General features: G+C 38.6%; 1 protein-coding gene, 1 long non-coding RNA gene and 1 pseudogene across 4 annotated transcripts in view; all 3 read left to right on the top strand.

Moving 5' to 3' along the window:
- Window positions 1–20381, top strand: part of RSF1 (remodeling and spacing factor 1) — a 212224-nt gene that overhangs the window by 130594 nt on the left and 61249 nt on the right. For all 3 annotated transcript variants that reach the window (XM_017017923.2, XM_005274051.3, NM_016578.4), the window contains exons 4-5: window positions 703–908; window positions 15940–16094. In XM_017017923.2, coding sequence (XP_016873412.1) covers window positions 703–908; window positions 15940–16094 — 361 coding nt within the window. The remainder of the gene's footprint in view (window positions 1–702; window positions 909–15939; window positions 16095–20381) is intronic.
- Window positions 1930–3470, top strand: RSF1-IT1 (RSF1 intronic transcript 1). The gene is made up of 2 exons (NR_046822.1): window positions 1930–2451; window positions 2709–3470. It is a non-coding gene; the product is annotated as an RSF1 intronic transcript 1 (long non-coding RNA).
- On the top strand, window positions 6407–7324 carry FTH1P16 (ferritin heavy chain 1 pseudogene 16; annotated as a pseudogene).

The following is a 20381-nucleotide window of genomic DNA, read 5'->3' as shown; positions in this document are numbered from 1 at the left end:
CACATATATCAGAATACCATGGTGTATACCATAAATATATGCAATTTTTATTTGTCATTTTAAATAAAGAAAATGTAAAAAAAAAATGAAACATTTTTAATAGAAATTTTTTTTTGAGACAGGGTCTTGCTCTGTTGCCCAAGCCAGAGTGCAGTGGCGAGATCACAGCTCACCGCATCCTCAACCTCCCAGCCCAGCCCCCTAAATAGCTGGGACTGTAGGCGTGCACCACCATACCTGGCCAATTTTTGTATTTTTTGTAGAGACAGGGTTTCACCATGTTGCCCAGGCTAGCCTTTAACTCCTGGACTCAAGCGATCCTCCTGCCTCGGCCTCCCAAAGTGCTGGGATTACAGGTGTCAGCCACTGTGCCTGGCCTAAAACAGAAAATCTTATACCATGAGATGATTTGGGAGTTTTTAGTGCAAACGGGCTCATTCCTTTTGAAATAAAACTTGATTTGTGTGTCAGTGGTTGTGTTAAACCTATAAATTGGTATGGTGTTAATATAAAATGTTATCTTAAAATATTGGCTATTCTAAACAGTTTGTATGAAAGTGGGAAGAGGATAGTGAAAGAAGGAATACAGTATTTGTGTTCTGTCCACTGCTTTCCCTGAATCAATTCTACGGTTGTATCATATTTACTGTGATGGAGAAATATTTGTGAGGTATTTTAAGTCATGTTATGACTATTTTTCAGTACCTCTGTGAGTGTCAGTTTGATGACAATCTCAAATTCAAGAATATTATTAATGAGGAGGATGCCGATACTATGCGTCTCCAGCCAATTGGTCGAGACAAAGATGGCCTCATGTACTGGTACCAATTGGATCAAGATCACAATGTCAGAATGTACATAGAAGAACAAGATGATCAAGATGGCTCTTCATGGAAATGCATTGTCAGGTATCTTTTATTGGAACCTTTTTACACTTATTTGTGTGTTTTGTACATTGATCTCGTTTCAAAACTAGGATGTTATCTATCAGACAGAAGTGGTTTTTTGTGTGTGAGTTTTGGGAGTTGTCAAGGCCTCACCTAGTATCCAGCGTAATACCCATAGTATGCACTTAGTTTTTTATTCGTCAAGTAAATGAGTATATTCAGTAGTTCAGTCCATATTATATACACATACCTTATACATCAGGAAGCCAGAATCTGAATAATTATAAATAATATGGACAGAAAAATACATTGTTAGACAAAAGCACAAGAAAAGCATTGTTTGGTTCTTATTTAGCTATAGTTTTCTTTTCTTTTTTAAACGGAGTTTCGCTCTTGTTGCCCAGGCTGGAGTGCAATGGCGCAATCTCGGCTCACTGTAACCTCCATCTCCCAGGTTCAAGCAATTCTCCTGCCTCAGCCTCCCAAGTAGCTGGGATTACAGGCGTGTGCCACCATGCCCAGCTAATTTTGTATTTTTAATAGAGATGAGGTTTCTCCGTGTTGGTCAGGCTGGTCTTGAACTCCTGACCTCAGGTGATCTACCCGCCTCGGCCTCCCAAAGTGCTGGGATTACAGGCGTTGGCCACCAGGCCCAGCCTTTAGCTATAGTTTTCTATTCAGCATTAACTAGTTCTAATTATTTTAATTTATTCAGTTCATCTTGACACAGTATATATTCTATTTGCTGTGCATACATTTCTTTATTGGAGTTCTGAGGAAATCTTGGGAACATTGCACTTTTTTGTCATAGTTCTCTTTTTAAAAATCTTGATTTTTTATTTGTGTTGACAAATATATTTGAACAGAAACATTTAATATATAACCATGAAATATAACCTAAACCCTATGAGTAATACTAGAACCGTTATTACAGAATCTTTGTGTCTTTAGTTTTCTGTCACTGTAACTTTACTATTTAGAAATATTCCACAAATTATATTAATTTGGAAGATATCGGGGTCCTATTAAATAGGGAAAACTCATAGCTATCTAACCGCTAGCTTATGAAAAACTTTCCTGACATTAACTCATATCTGTTTTTTGCCCCATTTTGAATTTCAGCAGATTTCTCTTAGTGATTATTTATTAATGCTTTGAAAAAATAACCCGTAGAAAAGCTCAATTTTCATTCCCTAAGAATAAATGTGTACTGATTAATCTCATGGGAGATTGTTTCATAAGCATGTATCATTACATTATTTTCCTTGTAATTAATTTGCTAAACGGAGGTGAACAAAGTAGTCCTAAACTAAAATTTATTTACCATTTCTCCTTTAAATACAAAGACAAATATGATCTATTCATGACATTATACCACTGTTTCTGTTATTTCCCATATTAACTTGGCGTAGTTGTTTAAAACATTCTTTTCTTCTTTGTAGATGAAGAAAATATGACAGTGAAATAACGATTACTATTGATCAGTCATAGTTGTTTAAAATAATGTCTAATGGGCTGGGTGCGGTGGTTCACACCTGTAATCTCAGCACTTTGGGAAGCCGAGGCGGGAGGATCACGAGGTCAGGAGTTTGAGACCAGCCTGGCTAGCATGGTGAAACCCCATCTCTACTAAAAATACAAAACATTAGCCGGGCATGGTGGTGCATGCCTGTACTCCCAGCTACTCGGGAGGCTGAGGCAGGAGAATTGCTTGAACCCGGGAGGCAGAGGTGTAATTTATGAGAGGAGTTCAAGATAAAAAGAACTGGAAGGCTGGGCACGGTGGGTCACGCCTGTAATCCCAGCACTTTGGGGGCTGAGGTGGGCAGATTATGCGGTCAGGAGATCAAGACCATCCTGGCCAACATGGTGAAACCCCATCTCTACTAAAATAAAAAAAAAAAATTAGCTGGGTTTGGTGGCACACACCTGTAATCCCAGCTACTCGGGAGGCTGTGGCTGGAGAATCGCTTGAACCAGCAGGTGGAGGTTGCAGTGAGCCAAGATCACGCCACTGTTCTCCAGCCTGGGCAACACAGCGAGGCTCCGTCTCCAAAAAAAAGAAAAAAAAATGTCTAATGTATACTGTTTTAAATAGATTATACCTTAATGCATGATGTGAAATTTTAGAGTTAACAGTTATGTTTGAATCTGGGTTCATCCACTTACCATCTGTAGACACATTACTTTTGTCCCTTGGTATCCATGGGGCACTGGTTCCAGACCCTCATGGATAACAAAATGTGTAAATGCTTAAGCCCTTTACATAATATTTGTGTATAACCTATGCACGTCCTCCCATATACTTATAATACTTAATGCATTGTAAATGCTAGGTATAGAATTGTTATACTGTAGTTTTAATTTGTATTTTTATTGTATTAACTTTAGTTCATTTTTTTCTAAATATTTTGATCTGTGGATATGGGGGGGCTAATGTACTTAATTTTTCTGAGAGTTACATTCCTGTACTTTAAAATGAAAGTGATAATACTTCCTCAAAAAGTTGTTGTGAGGAATATATGAGAAATGGTACTGACACTGTAATACATGCTCAATAAACCTTTTCTCTTTTTATTTCCACCTTTTTAACTATTCGCTTTTCTTTTGTTTTTTGTTTTTAGAGACGGAGTCTCACTCTGTCGCCCAGGCGGGAGTGCAGTGGCGCGATCTTGGCTCACTGCAAGCTCCGCCTTCCGGGTTCACGCCATTCTTCTGCCTCAGCCTCCCAAGTAGCTGGGACTACAGGCACCCGCCACCATACCTGGCTAATTTTTTGTAGTTTTAGTAGAGATGGGGTTTCTCTGTGATAGCCAAGATGGTCTTGATCTCCTGACCTCGTGATCTGCCCGCCTCAGCCTCCCAAAGTGCTGGGATTACAGGCGTGAGCCACCGTGCCTGGCCAGCTATTCGCTTTTCTTACAACCTTTCTAACTCCAAAGACTGAAATTTAGTTTATTCACTAAAGAAATATTTATCAGCAGAAAGGTCAGAAAATTCCCCTGGTGTTGCTTTCTGCTTTCACCTCTTCTCATGCTTGACCATTTCTCCATGTTTTGTTCCTTGGGCTTCTGCTCTTTTTAAACACACACACACACACACACACACACACACACACACACACACACACCCCCCAAAACACATAAAACTTCTTTCCATTTGTTAAAATTTGTTTTTGATAAACAAAATGGTGTATGTGGCAATTGTTCAGAAGGAAATGCTTGTGTAGATTAATGCCTGCACGCAGTTTTCCGTTTTTTTGTTGTTGTTGTTGTTGTTTTTTGGTTTTTTTTTTTTGAGACAGGATCTCGCTTTGTTGCCCAGGCTGCAGTGTGGAGTGCAGTGGTGCGATCTCAGCTCCCTGCAAATTCTGCCTCCCGGGTTCAAGCCGTTCTTCTGCCTCAGCCTCCTGAGTAGCTGGGATTACAGGTGTGAACCACCACACCTGGATAATTTTTGTACTTTTAGTAGAGACAGAGTTTTGCCATGTTGACCATGCTGGTATCGAACTCCCGAGCACAAGCTATTCACTTGCTGTGGCCTCCCAAAGTGCTGGGATTACAGGTGTGAACCACCATACCCATCGCATAGTTTTCTCATTTTCACAACCACAAATTTCTTTAGAAAATGGTGCCAGGTTATTTTTAGCCATTTTGATGACATCTGTGAATACATATGTTTCTATTTACAATGAGCCAGGGAACATTGCCCAAATAACGCAGAAATATTTGGGAGCATTCAGAAATCATTTGGTTTATTGACTCTCTGATTTTGTGTAATGAAATTCAATTTTTAAACAGCTGATTGTCATACTAACATTCCTTTATTTCATTAAATTTATAAATTCTATTACATACATCCTTGTGTAATAGGTACTATGCTAAACAATTGGTGATGTAATAGTGAATAGTATGGCTCTAAGATCTCTAAGAGGGGCTGCAGGCACCTGTGAAAGGCCTCAACTTGTAAAGAATAGATTTTAGGTGAATATTATATGCGTATTTTCTGGGGACGGATGGTAATTTATGTCAAATTTTCAGTTGGGTGTGTTTATGCATATTATAAGTGAGATGTTCTATGACATGACATTCCAATTAGCTTTAACCCAACACAGTGGAACTCTTACTGACAAATATAGTAAACTGTCTTGTCCACATAGGTCTCTCATTGTTGCAAAGGTTGAATGTAGAAAACATTGTAATAATTTTTGCCTCCTCATAAAGATAAGATCTTAGTTGTCACTAATATATATTTAGTGCCTAAAATAATGTGGGGCATCATCTCATTTGACTTGGATGAGATCATACCTGGAGCATGGTATTTCTGTTTGAATGGCAGACTCTGAAAGAAACATTAATATAGTAAAGTCCATTATGGGAACAACCACAAAGAAGATGATTGAATACTGAAAATGCTTTATCTAGCAGAAATTTACTCAGACATAAATGTCTTCAAACATTTAAAGGATTGATTTGTAGAAGAATATCTCAAAGGCTGAGCCAGGATCACTGGATTCAAATTATGGGGAAGCAGAACTGAATTTGACAGGAGCAAGAACGTTTGTTTTTCCTTTTACATTGCAGGGGAGTGATTGTCTTAAGACTGATAGATGTTGTCACACATTTTTCAATTAAACGTGCAAGTTTATGTGAAGTGGAGTTTTGTAAGAGGCAGTAATCTTTTTAGCAAGAGATTTCTTTAGAAAATCAAGTGATGGCCGGGTGCGGCGGCTCACACCTGTAATCCCAGCACTTTGGGAGGCCAAGGCGGGCGGATCATGAGGTCAAGATATCGAGACCATCCTGGCCAACATGGTGAAACTCCGTCTCTACTAAAAATACAAAAATTAGCTGGCATTGTGGCGTGTGCCTGTAGTCCCAGCTACTCGGAAGGCTGAGGCAGGGGAATCACTTGAACCCAGTAGGCAGAGGTTGCAGTGAGCCAAGATTGCGCCACTGCACTCCAGCCTGGCGACAACAGAGCGGCCTCCATCTCAAAAAAGAAGAAAAAAGAAAATTAAGTGATAAGGGAAGAACAAGTAAAGCAAATGAGATTTTGACTTTGACTTTTTCATTTAATAGGTTGCATTTAGGTGCTTTTCTTAGCTAGTAAGTATTATTTTTTACTAGTAAATTAAAAGCTTCTTGTTTTTTCTTAAAACAATTTCTTTAAAGTAACAGTATTATTTTCTTGGTGATCGGCTGGTGTTGGAAACGTGTTTCTACCTAATTCTTAAAAGAGGATTATATAACAAAAGTTATCTAGTCTTTAGGGTTCCGTTTTCTAAAGCTAATAAGTCAGCCTTCTTAATGATTGATAAATTTAGAAATATAACTGAACTTTGCAAATTAAACATCAAATGGAATTTTTAAAAAATGAGAATCCACCAAAAAGGGATAATTTTACATAGTTGATCTACTGAAAATTTCATACCATGACATCACCACAGTCTTAAAACTTGTACTGTTACGTAGCAACTTCCATTTCTGCAAGTTGCAAAATTAATAATATAAATATAGAGACGTTCTTTGCCGAGAGTCGTCGGGGTTTCCTGCTTCAACAGTGCTTGGACGGAACCCGGTGCTCGTCCCCCACCCCAGCCGGCCGCCCATAGCCAGCCCTCCCTCACCTCTTCACGGCACCCTCAGACCGCCCCAAGGCCCCTGCCGCCGCCCCAGCGCCACGCAGCCACTGCCACCGCCGCCACCTCTCCTTAGTCGCCGCCATGAGGACCACGTCCACCTCACAGGTGCGCCAGAACTACCACCAGGACTCAGAGGCCGCCATCAACCGCCAGATCAACCTAGAGCTCTGTGCCTCCTACGTTTACCTGTCCATGTCTTACTGCTTTGACCGTGATGATGTGGCTTTGAAGAACTTTGCCAAATACTTTCTTCACCAATCTCATGAGGAGAGGGAGCATGCTGAGAAACTGATGAAGCTGCAGAACCAACGAGGTGGCCGAATCTTCCTTCAGGATATCAAAAAACCAGACTGTGATGACTGGGAGAGCGGGCTGAATGTGATGGAGTGTGCATTACATTTGGAAAAAAATGTGAATCAGTCACTACTGGAACTGCACAAATTGGCCACTGACAAAAATGACCCCCATTTGTGTGACTTCATTGAGACACATTACCTGAATGAGCAGGTGAAAGCCATCAAAGAATTGGATGACCATGTGACCAACTTGCACAAGATGGGAGCACTCGAATCTGGCTTGGCAGAATATCTCTTTGACAAGCACACCCTGGGAGACAGTGATAATGAAAGCTAAGCCTCGGCTAATTTCCCCGTAGCCGTGGGGTGACTTCCCTGGTCACCAAGGCAGTGCATGCATGTTGGGGTTTCCTTTACCTTTTCTATAAGTTGTACCAAAACATCCACCTAAGTTCTTTGATTTGTGCCATTCCTTCAGATGAAGAAATTTGGTACCCCCCCCCAAAAAAAGTAATAATAATAATATAAATATATGTATTAGATGAATAGATAGGAAGCAATTAACTTATATATAATTATACTTTAAGTTGAAACAAGATTTAGTATGTGATTTACAAAACAATAGAAGTAGTTAAGTTTCATTAAACCATATGAAATTGTTAACATTTGAACATTTTGACCTATAAAAATGGTGATTTCATATGGCTCAATCAAGTATTATAACAGGTTTCAATAGCAAAAATGTTTAAGCTCCAGCCAGTGTCCTACTTATTCCAGTTAATGTTTAAAACAGAATTGCCACAAAAGCATTATTTCATCTTTAGGCCTCAATGAAAGAAGATAAAAGTACAGAAAAAAAAATTTTACATCTAATCAAATATGATGTAATAAGTGATTTTATTCACTCCATGGGGTATGTCAATAGAATTTGTTTAGGAATGAAAAAGATGGGCTCAGCATGATGGCTCACACCTATAACCTCAGCACTTTGGGAGGCCCAGGTGAGCAGTTTGCTTGAACCCAGCAGTTGGAGACCTGCCTAGGCAACTTGATGAAACCCTGTCTCTACAACAAATACAAAAATCAGCAAGGTGTGGTGGCACTTGCCTGTAGTCTCAGTGACTTGAGAGGCTGAGGTGGGAGGATTGCTTGAGCACAGGAGCTTGAGGCTGCAGTGAACTGTGATTGTACCACTGCACTCTAGCCTGGGCAACAGAGTGAGACCCTGTGTCTCAAAAAAAAAAAAAAAAAAAATCAAAGATGTAAACATAACAAGGTGGTAGTGTTTGGTTATTAATGATTAGAGAATTTTAGCAAATAAAGACCATAGACCAGATTCCATCACAAGCTTCTTCAGGATCTTAGTGGGACTACAGAAAGTACTTTTGTACCAAGTATACTAAGGAAGATAAAGTTATATGCAGACTATTAAGCAGTTACTTCATAAAGAATATATATATATATAGCCAGTATTCATATGAAAAAGTGCTTAGCATCATTATTCATTGTAGAATTTCCAATTAAAACCACAATGAGGTATTACCTTACTTCCATTAGAATTAGTAAAACGAAAATGGCTTACAGCACCAAATGTTAACAAGGATATGAACCAACTGAAACACCTTCTTGTATATGTAAAATGATACAACCACTTTGGGAAAGTTTTGCAGTTTCTTCAAATGTTAACAAACTATTATCCCATAACCTATAAATTTCATTTCTGGGTATTTATATTAGAGAAATGAAAACATGTTTACAAAAAGCCTTGTATAAGAATGTTCATAGCATCTTTATTCTTAACATTACTCATACAATGAATTATTACTAAGCAATAAAAAGGGATGACCTATGAAACTATATGGATTTGTCTCAAAATTCCTTGTATGTGAAAGAAGCACATACTGTTTGATTCCATTTGTGATAAGTTCTAGAATTAATAAAATTAAAAATCTATTGTATTAGTCCGTTTTCATGCTGCTGATAAAGACATACCCAAGACTGGGCAATTTGCAAAAGAAAGAGGTTTAATTGGACTTACAGTTCCATGTGGCTGGGCAGGCCTCAGAATTATGGCAGAAGGCAAGAAGGAGCAAGTCATGCCTTTCATTGATGGCGGCAGGCAAAGAAGGAGCTTGTGCAGGGAACTCCTGTTTTTAAAACCATCAGATCTCGTGAGACTCATTCACTCACAGGAAATGAACCTGCACCCTTAATTCAATCGCCTTCCACCGGATTCCTCCCACAGCAGATGGGAATTGTGGCAGTTACAATTTAAGATGAGAATTGGGTGGGGACAGAGCCAAACCATATTTTTCTGCCCCGGCCCCTCCTAAATCTCATGTCCTCATAGTTCAAAACCAATCATGCCTTCCCAACAGTCCCCCAAAGTATTGACTCATTTCAGCATTAACTCAAAAGTCCACAGTCCAACATCTCATCTGAGACAAGGCAAGTCCCTTCTTCCTGTGAGACTGTAAAATCAAAAGCAAGTTAATTGCTTCCTAGATACAATGGGGGTACAGGCATTGGGTAAACACAGCCATTCCAAATGAGATAAGTTGGCCAAAACAAAGGGGCTGTAGGCCCCATGCAAGTCCGAAATCCAGCAGGGCAGTCATATCTTAAAGCCCCAAAATCATCTCTTTTGACTGTCTCACATCTGGGTCATGCTGATGCAAGTGGTGGGTTCCCATGGTCTTGGGCAGCTGCGCCCCTGTACAGCCTCCCTCCTGGCTGTTTTCATGGGCTGGCCTTGAGTATCTGCGGCTTTTCCAAGCACACGGTGCAAGCTATCAGTGGATCTACCATTCTGGGGTCTAGAGGACAGTGGTCCTCTTCTCACAGCTCCACTAGGTGGTGCCCCAGTAGGGACTCTGTGTGGCTCTGATCCCACATTTCCCTTCCACACTGCCCTAGCAGAGGTTCTCCATGAGGGCCCCCAACCCCTGCAGGAAACTTCTGCCTGGGCATCCAGGTGTTTCCATACATCTTCTGAAATCTAGGCAGAGGTTCCCAAACTCCAGTTCTTCTGTGCATTCACAGGTTCAGCACCACATGGAAGCTGCCAAAGCTTGGGACTTGCACCCTCTGAAGCCACAGCCTGAGCTCTGCATTGGCAGCTTTCAGCCATGACTGGAGTGGCTGAGATGCAGGGCACCAAGTCCCTAGGCTGCACACAGCACATGGACCCTGGGCCTGATCCATGAAACCATGTTTTCCTCCTAGGCCTCCAGGCCTGTGATAGGAGGGGCTGCCGTGAAGACCTCTGACATGCCTGGAGACATTTTCCCCATTGTCTCAGGGATAACATTTGGCTTCTTGTTTCTTATGCAAATTTCTGAAGCCAGCTTGAATTTCTCCTCAGAAAATGGGATTTTCTTTTCTGTCACATTGCCAGGCTGCAAATTTTCTAAACTTTTATACTCTGCTTCCCTTATAAAACTGAATGACTTTAACAGCACTCAGGTCACCTCTTGAATGCTTTGCTGCTTAGAAATTTCTTCCTCCACATACCCTAAATCATCTCCTTCATGTTCAAAGTTCCACAAATCTCTAGGGCAGGGGAAAAGGCCACCAGTCTCTGCTAAAACGTAACAAAACTCACCCTTACTCCTGTTGGGGAACAAGTTCCTCATCTCATTCTGAGACTACCTCAGCCTGGGCCTTATTGTTCATATTGCTGTCAGCATTTTTGTCAAAACCATTCAACAAGTCTCTAGGAAGTTCCAAACTTTCCCACATTTTCATATCTTCTTCTGAGCCCTCCAAACTCTTCCAACCTCTGCCTTTTACCCATTTTTTAAGCCACTTCCACATTTTCAGGTACCTTTTCAGCAACGCCCCACTCCTGATACCAATTTACTATATTAGTCCGTTTTCATGCTGCTGATAAAGACAAGACTTGGCAATTTACAAAAGAAAGAGGTTAATTGGACTCACAGTTCCACATGGCTGGGGAGGCATCAAAATCATGGCAGAAGGCAAGGAGGAGCAAGTCATGTCTTACATCAATGGCGGCAGGAAAAGAAAGCTTGTGCAGGAAACTCCTGTTTTCAAAACCATCAGATCTCGTGAGACTCATTCACTATCACGAGAACAGAACAGGAAAGACACATCCCATAATTCAATCACCTCCCACTGGGTTCCTCCCACAACACGTGGGAATTGTGGGAGTTACAATTCAAGATGAGATTTGGGTGGAGACACAGCCAAACTGTATCATCTATGGTTATCATAATAAAAACTGTGATTCTTCTTGCTTTGGTGGGGAAAAGGAATTGAGTAGGAAAGGACAGGAGGGAATTTTTGTGGGAATAGTGATATTCCTTATGTTGATTATGGTGTAGATTACACAATGTATGCATTTGTCAGAACTGATGAACTGAGTGCTTAAAATATGTTTATTTTACAGTATGTGAATTATACCTCGTTAAAAATATTTTCAAAATTGATAATGGTTTGACAGTCATTTTCAGAAAGTTGAATTTGAAATAGTATATACAGTTTTCATGTACCCATAATTACAAACTGTATGAATGCATTTCTAAACCATATATATATATCTAAAACCTGCTAATATAGCACAGTGATTAAGAAGGGCTCTAAAGTCAGACTTCAAAATTCAGTCTTGCTAAATTGTACTAACTTACCTTAGGCAAATTACCATACCTCTCTATGTGTCCTCAGTTTCCTCAGTCATAAAATGGGAATAATTTAATACCTACTTAATTGGGTTATATTGGAATTATATGAACTAATTAATATAAAACTCTTGGAATAATTAATGCTTGGAACATAGTGCTCATTCACTAATGTTAACATCTTAGATTAATAGTACTGCTATTGATATTACTAATTAATGCCTCTTCAGTTTTCTTGGCCTCCACAATTTTTTTTTTTTTTTTTTTTTTTTTTTTGCCTACTGAATAATTTGGCATTTATACCAAAAAGTTGGAATATTGTTTCTCAACTCTGGAATCATATATTTAAAATATTTACAAAAGGCTTGTTATATTTATACTGTTTTATGCTCTGTAGATGTGAAGACCTGGTCCCATTTGTTAAGGAGTTTTTGTTATGGGAGAAAGGTACAGGGAGATATTACATAATACAGAGTCACAAAGTCTGTGATGGAGATTATCAAGGGTGCTGTGGAAGAACCAGATACTTGGCTCATACTTGGCAGAAGATAATGCCTATACTTGACTTTTTTTTTTTTGTGGGGTTGGGGTTCAGGGGCGTCTGTTTATTTTTGTTATTTTTTTTTTCTTCATTGCTTCTGAAATGTTTAGCACCTACCACTAATTCAAACTCTGAACAACTCCTAGGCTGGGAGAAATCATATTTCACAATAATAATGGTTAGGATGACGTGTTCCATTTCATTGAAGTCTAGATTAACTTAAGGTACATATAGGAAAATATAACAGTTTAGAATCTGGTTAAGTCAAAGTCAGTAACCAGTCTGCCCAAAACTAAACTTTGAACCTTTCTACCCTAATCTGAACGTCCCATCTCTGTTAATAGCAGCTACATCCTTTCCTTGGCTCAACCCTATGGAATGTGTCAATAGAATTTCTTTAGGAATGAAAAAGATAAGCAGAGATGTAAATATAATAACCAAGTGTTAGTGTTTGGTTATTAATGATGAGAGAAATTTAGCAAATAGAGACCTTATACCAGATTCCATCAGGTGCTTCTTCAGGAACAGAGTGGGACTACAGAGAGTGCTTTTATACCAAGTGTAAACCCTAAGGCCCAAAACCTTGGAGCACATCCGTAACTGCTTTTTCTCTCACTCCACATCTACCCTAACAGCAAATCCAATCAGCTCTTCATGCATGATTGTATCTAGAATTTGATCACTTCTCCTTCATAGCTGCATTCTTGTCCAAGCCACCATCTCTTTTTTGTAAAATATATATAATTGAGCAGTTTTTTTTTTTTACAAGTTATGCATCTGGTACCACTATCTAACACCGGGATATTTTTCTCACCCTAAAAAGAAAACCCTGTACCCATTAGCAGTTATTCTTCATTCTCCCTTTTCCTAGCCCTTAACAACCACCAATCTTTCTGTGTCTATAATTTGTCTATTCTCAACATTTTGTATACATAGAATTATATAATAAGTGACTTTCTGTGTGTGGCCTCTTTCTTTCCCTTTCCTTTCCTTCCCTTCCCTTCTCCCGTCTCCCTTCTCCCTTCCCTTCCCTTCCCTTTTTCCTTCCCTTCCCTTTCCTCTTCCTTTTCCCCTTCCCTTTCCTCTTCCCTTTCCCCTTTCCTTTCCCCTTTCCTTTCCTTTCCTTTCCTGTTTCTCCATGTTGGTCAGGCTGGTCTCCATCTCCCGACCTCAGGTGATCTGCCTGCCTCGCCCTCCAAAGTGCTGGGATTACAGGTGTGAGCCACCACGCCCAGCCATTTGTGGCCACTTTCAAGTAGAGTAATCTTTACAAAGTTTATCCGTGTAATATAAATCAGAACTTTATTCCTTTTTATGGCTGAGTAGTATTTCCATATGTAGATATACTAGATTTTGTTTATTCATTCTATACTTGTCTTTGAGAGAGTAATTGGAATTAGCCATGGGGAACACATTCCAGGCTAAGAGAGCAGAAGTGCAGTCAGTCACCCGATATCCTAAGAAAGCCTGGTATTTTGGAGGGATATATCTGATTTAACATACCTGAAAGAAGAAATGGTTTGGAGAACAGAGAACAAGTGAGGGAGGGGTAGCAAAACAACTGGATTGTTGTTAGGGTCCATAGTCTAAAATATTCTGTACATAGTGTTAAGAAATTTGGATGTGATTTGAGGGAATTCATAAAAATTTCCTCTGACTAACTCAGATTTAGGATTTTTTAAATTGTTCAAAAATAGGAAAAACCCAAAGATGGGTAGTTTTGTTTTCATATAATAACGACTACCTTAGGCTTGTGTTTAAACACATTAAACAGATTAAAAGCCTTTTAGGGAGTTGTTCTTTAATAAATTTTAATGCTAAATTCCCTTTTTGCTTAAAGTAGTGGAAGTAGGCTGGGTGCAGTGGCTCACGCTTGTAATCCCAACAGTTTGGGAGGCCAAGGCAGGCAGATCACTTGAGGTCAGGAGTTCGAGACTAGCCTGACCAACATGGTGAAACCTCATCTCTACTAAAATTACAAAAGAAATTAGCCAGGCGTGGTGATGGGTGCCTGTAATCCCAGCTACTCGGGAGTCTGAGGCAGGAAAATCGCTTGAACCCAGGAGGAGGAGGTTGCAGTGAGCCAAGATCCTGCCATTGCACTCCAGCCTGGGTGACAAGAGTGAAACTCCATCTCAAAAAAAAAAAAAAAAAAAAGTAGTGGAAGTAATTGAAATAGATTTTCCTAGCAATATTAGCTCTCTTACGTTTTGAAGCTTTTTAAAATTGTTATGGTGCATAACTTCAGTATACTCTTCAGTTCCCACCATGACTTTCAGAAATAAATAGATCGAGCCATTCGTTGCATATGGAATTCTCTTTTTCCTTTTTTTAACATATGGAATTCTCAATGGAATATGAGTAGTAATAAAGCATAGATCCTTAAGTTAGAAGCAGGTTGTAATGAAATTAGGGGACTGGATCTTTGCCAAAAATAAATAAAGTCTCTGAGTCTTAATTTTCCTTCCTGTAAAATGGAGGCAGGACCAGACAAGACTTTGAGAAAACATCTAGTCTTACCTTTTGATATTAGATAATTAAAATTCTAGACTGGTTATTATATATGCTCATATGATATGTATGAACATGTATGTTTTATTCTCATGTATAATTGATTGTCATTTTAATTTCTGATTTTTATCAGTGGCAATTTTACTGCTTTATTTAGAAGACCAATTTAGTAATACTCAAGAGAATCTGTTCTTTTATTTTATAAATAAGAAAGCTGAGGCCTAATGAGGATATACAACTTGTCCAGGGGCTCTTTGGAATGCAGAGTTCCTACTCTAAAGCAGTAGAATCTAGCTGGCATGGAATTGGAAAGGGAAAGGAGGGTAGGAGCCATATGTGACATGACAGATAAGAAAACGAGTCATTTCATCTTAACAGTTTTCACTTTGAATCAGGGGTATTTACATCGCACATTGAGAACACAGATGGGAGGATCTTGGTGCTAATTAATAATCTAGTGGCATATCTAGAACTCAGTTTCCCAACTCTTAGTCCAGGGCCTGCTTTTTATCTTCAGCATTATGCACTGTCTGACAGCATTTCTTGCTTGTCTGAGCAAGAAAAATATCCAAGTGAGTTTTCTCAGTTGTAAGTGGCATTTAAATTAACCATACCACACCTTTGTTTTTGCTAGTAAAAATATAGGATTTTATTTGCCAGATACAGGGATATACAACTGTAGTCCTAGCTACTTGGGAGGCTGAGGTAGGAGGGTCTTGAGCCTGGGAATTTGAGGTTACCGTGAGCCGTGATCAGGTCACTGCATTCCAGCCTGGATGACAAAGTGAGACCATGTCTCTTTTTTAAGTAGAATTTATAGGTTAGACTTTTATTTATTTGGAATTTTCTGGTATTGTGGAATCAGTTATAAACCATTATTAACAAAATAAAATCAGCTACCAAAATTTTTTATGTTTTTAAATTGTGTTATTGGAACTGATGTTTTGCTGTAATCAGAAAGTTCTGGATCTTAATTTTGTAGCAGTGTCAAATGCTATTATCTCTGAAGGTAGAAAAGAATTATTTCCAAATGAATCAAGAACAAAACAAAAAAATACTTTTGCAATCAAGTTTTACATTGATTTCATCTCCTTAGAGATTACATACTATTTTTAAAGTTATCAAACGTTGATTTTTGTGTAATTTTGTTCCTACTTTTCTTTTCAACCCAAGAGATATTCATTGTCATTCCAATCAGTAGAGAGGAAAATCTAATATTCTTCTCTGAAGAACAGTATATTTTAATGTGTTTTTCTTAGTGCTTTTAAAATTCAGGGTTAATTAGGGCTAGCTGTACCAGTGTTTTTGATGTTCTTAATGTATTTTTCTTTTTTTATTTTAATTTCTATTGGTATTATTCAGAAAGTTCTCTAGAACAGGAAAAAGGTTTTTATGCTGTCTTATTTTTTTCCTTGTTTAGAAATCGAAACGAGTTGGCTGAGACTCTTGCACTCCTGAAAGCACAAATTGATCCTGTACTATTGAAAAACTCTAGCCAACAAGACAACTCTTCTCGGGAAAGTCCCAGCTTAGAGGATGAGGAGACTAAAAAAGAGGAAGAAACACCTAAACAAGGTTTTTTTTTGTGTGTTTTGTTTTGCTTTGTTTTGTAATCTCTTCCATATTCTTCCACTCCTCTTCCCAACTATATAATTCTGAATTTCTATCTCAATTTGAATTGGGAGCCTTCTTATAAAAGGAGGTTGATTTTTCCTTAATTTAAAGAAAATGAGGCCAAAAATATTAAATATGTTGCTCTTTTATGTAGAACATTTAAAAATATCTTAGTAAAAAATGTTCAGATCATCAAAACATAATATTTTTTACTAAGGAATGTGAAGACATTTAATGAACTTTTTTATTGTGGCAAAATATAACATAAAATTTACCATTTTAACCATTTTTAACCATACAGTTCTGTGGCATTAAGTACATTCATATTGTTGTGATGCACCCATCACCACCATCCATCTCCAGAACTTTTTTGATCTTTCTCAGTTAAAGCTCTGTATGTTTTAAACACTAAACTCTGCATTTTTCCTTCCCCTCAGCCCCTGGCATCTCTCATTCTGCTATCTGTCTCTTATGAATTTGATCATTCATATCCGAGGAATCATAATGCTTGCACTTTTGTGACAGGCTTATTTCACATAGCATAGTGTCTTCAAAGTTCATCCATGTTACAGGGGTCCCCAACCCCCAGGCCAAGGAGTAGTACCAGTCTGTAACCTGTTAGGAACCAGATTGCACAGCAGGAGGTGAGCAGGGACGAGTGAGCATTACCACTCCAGTGAGCATTACCGCCCAAGCTCCACCTCCTGTCAGATCAATGGCGGTGTTAAATTCTCATGGGAGCACAAACCCTATTGTGAACCACTTATGCAAGGGATCTAGGTTGCACACTCCTCATGAGAATCTACTGCTTGATGATCTGAGGTGGAACAGTTTCATCCCAAAACCATCCCCCCAGCCCACCTCCTATAGAAAAATTGTCTTCCACGAAACTGTTTCCTGGTGCCAAAAGGTTGGGAACCACTGTTGTAGTGTATGTCAGAATTTTCTTCCTTTTAATAATAATAAGTTATTGAATAATTGTCCATTGTATGTATATACCACATTTTGTTTATCAATTCATCCATCAGTGGGCACTTGAATTTCTTCCACCTTTTGGACGTTGTGAATAATGCTGCCATGAACTGGGTGTACAGATATCTCTTGAGTCCCTGCTTTCCCTTCTTTTAATCCAGAAGTGGAATTGCTGGATCATATATGGTAATTCTGTGTTTAATTTTTTGAGGAAGCACATACTGTTTTCCACAGCAGTTGCATCATTTTACATTCCTTCCAGTAGTGCCCAAGGACTCTAGTTGCTTCCCATCCTCACCAACACTTGTTTCTGTTTGTTTTTTTATAACAGCATCTCATTGTAATTATTAGTTCCTAATGACAAGTGATGTTAAGCATCTATCTTTTCAAGTGTTTATTGGCCATTTGTATATCTTCTTTGGAAAAATGTTTATTCAAGTTTTTTGTCCATTTTTTCTTTGGGTTGTTTATTTTTTTGTTATGCTTTGAAAACTCTTAAGTCTATGATAATTGTAATTGTTAAACCTGATTTCTGATTGAGTTTTCTAATTTGCTTAACTAGGCAGATCAAATTCTAACCATTCTAGGAAGACAGAGCCAAGTCCTGAGCTCTTCAAAAGGAAAGAAACCAACTGAAATTTTGACCAACATCTTTTTAGTTAATATTTGTTATTGATAACCTTTTAATGACAAGGGAAGGAATTTGCTTTCCTTATTATGTTTTCTTTGCTTTTAGTTTGCTTCTGCTAGTTTTGATTAGAACCTAAAAATAATGTTATTCCTTTATTTGCTGCTCTCAGGAAACCATTTATAGAAAGCATTCCATATCTGCAAGCATTGCTTGTAAACAAGGAATTATGCCTTTCCGTGTAGTATATAATAATGTTCCTATGTATTAAGCATTGCTTTTAGCCGAAATGTTGATTACCGTCCTTCATTGCTTATGTGGTTTTATTTCAAATGTCTGTGGTGGTTTTATTTCTAAGCCCAATTTCTGCTTTGAAAAATTATTTTTCATATGTTAAAATTAAACTTACAGACTACTTTAGGAAAGCCTTTTTTTTCCCCTTTGAGACAGGATCTCTCTCTGTCGCCCAGGCTGAAGTACAGTGGTGCAGTCATTGCTCACTGCAGCTTAGAACTCTTGGGCTCAAGTGATCCCAGCCCTTCAGCCTTTCCTGAGTAGATAAGACTACAGGCATGTGCCATCAGGCCCAGCTAGTTTTCATTTTTTATTTTTTGTAGAGATGGGATCTTGCTCTGTTGCCCAGGCTGGTCTTGACTTGGCCTCAGGCGACCCTCCTGCCTTGGCTTCCCAAAGTGCTGGGATTATAGGAATGAGTCACTGTGCCCAGCCACGCATAATAATTTAAAAGTAGTCTGAGCCTCCTGTTGAATTTCTATTCTTTTTTAGTAGTATTTTCCAAGGATTAGTTCTAGGTTTAAACTTAATGTTACTTGTTCATTTTGGTCATTCATTCACATATTTTCTTATTCCCATACACAATTAAAATCAAAGCCAGAGAAAATGTGAATTGGAAACCAAGGTCAGAATAATAGAAATTTAAGAGGCAATTATTTCTAATACAAGACCTCAAAATTGACACTGATCTTGAAGGGAGACTAATTGTGTAGTTTAAAGTAGAAAGAAAAACAGAACAAACTTTTTCTAGGTAAGCTATTCCTAATAGTTAATGCTGAAATTTCTTTGTGGGGCCTTATAGTAGATAATGGGGGATTTCAACAATAACAACAGCTAACATTTATTGGGCACATCCTGTTTTCTTTGCAGTCTACCAAATGCTGCATATGGATTTTCATTTAATCCTCATAGCAACTCTTTGAGGTAACTACTATTATTATTTTAATTTTACAGATGAGGAAATTGGAACATTTATAATGTTGCCTCAGGTCATATACATAATTAAGTGTCAGAGTCTAGATTTGAAGCCTGATCCTTCTATACCCTATGCTCTTAAAGTGGTCTAGAGTAGTACTTCTCAAACTTTAATATGCTGGGTGTTCACTTCGGGAGTTTTTTAAAGTACAGAATCTGGTGGAGTGGGTCTTGGCTGTCTGCTGATTGGCTATTTTAACAAGGACCTATGTAATGCTGATACTGCTGGTTAGAGGACCATATTTTGAGTAATAAGGTCATCTCCTAACTTCTGAAACAAATACACCAAAGGCCGTTATACACCTGTTTCTGAAAACATTTCTCAATGAATGCTGATGTTATACCTCTCAACACAACTAAGAGAAAATGGTCTGTGAGGGATGGCATCCTTGAAAAAGTAGAAGAGGAGGAGCAGGACATTTCATTCTCTTTGTTTTTCTGTCTTCTATTTTTATTTTAGAGACAGTCTCACTCTGTCACCCGGGCTGGAGTGCAGTAGTGCAATCATAGTATGCTGCAATCTGGAACTCCTGGGCTCAAGTGATCCTCCTGCCTCAGCCTCCTGAGTGGCTGGGACTACAGGTGTGCGCCACCATGCCTGGCTAATGTTTTTTAATTTTTAATTTTGTAAAGACATGGTCTCACTTTGTTGCCCAGGCTGGTCTCGAACTCCTGACTTCAAGCAATCCTCTTGCCTCAGCCCTCCGAAGTTCTGGGATTACAGATGTGAGCAACTGCGCACAGCCTACCTTCTCTTTTGCTTTTCTGCTTCTCTTTCTCTAACAACAAAATGTTTCTTATTCATTCATTCATTCATTCAGTGAATACTTACTGTGCACCTTCTCTGTGCTAAGCATGATTTTAGGCATATAGTTTAATAAAGAAGGACTAAAATCCTTGCTTTTGTAAAGCTTACACTATAGTAGATAAAACAGTAACACATAAACCATTTACCATGTGCCAATACTGTTCTAAATGCTTTTGCCTATATTGTCAGATCATTTTCACAACAAACCCTGTTTAGTAGTGTAATATTATTACTTCCCTTTTTTCAGATGAGGGAAATTAGATAAAGAGTGATTTCGGTAATTTTCCCAAGGTCACATAGCTTGTTAATGGCAGACCTAATATTCAAAACTAGGCAATCTGTCTCCAGAGTCCCTGTGCCCTTTTAATGCTGCACTTACATATAATTTCAGCCCCCAAAAACCCTGTCTCTCACCCTTGTCCTCTCAGATGTAGTTCTTGTAGTCTATTCCATGGCAAGACCAAATAAATATGATTCTGTTCTGTCATTTTTATTCCTTTCGGATGTAAACAAACATTACCCTTGGGCTGTGTTGGGGGATCAGGGCCAGGTGGGAAGGAGTATGTCAAAA

Source organism: Homo sapiens, chromosome 11, assembly GCF_000001405.40.
Source record: "Homo sapiens chromosome 11, GRCh38.p14 Primary Assembly".
Taxonomy (NCBI): domain Eukaryota; kingdom Metazoa; phylum Chordata; class Mammalia; order Primates; family Hominidae; genus Homo; species Homo sapiens.
This window is presented reverse-complemented; position numbering and strand designations above follow the sequence as displayed.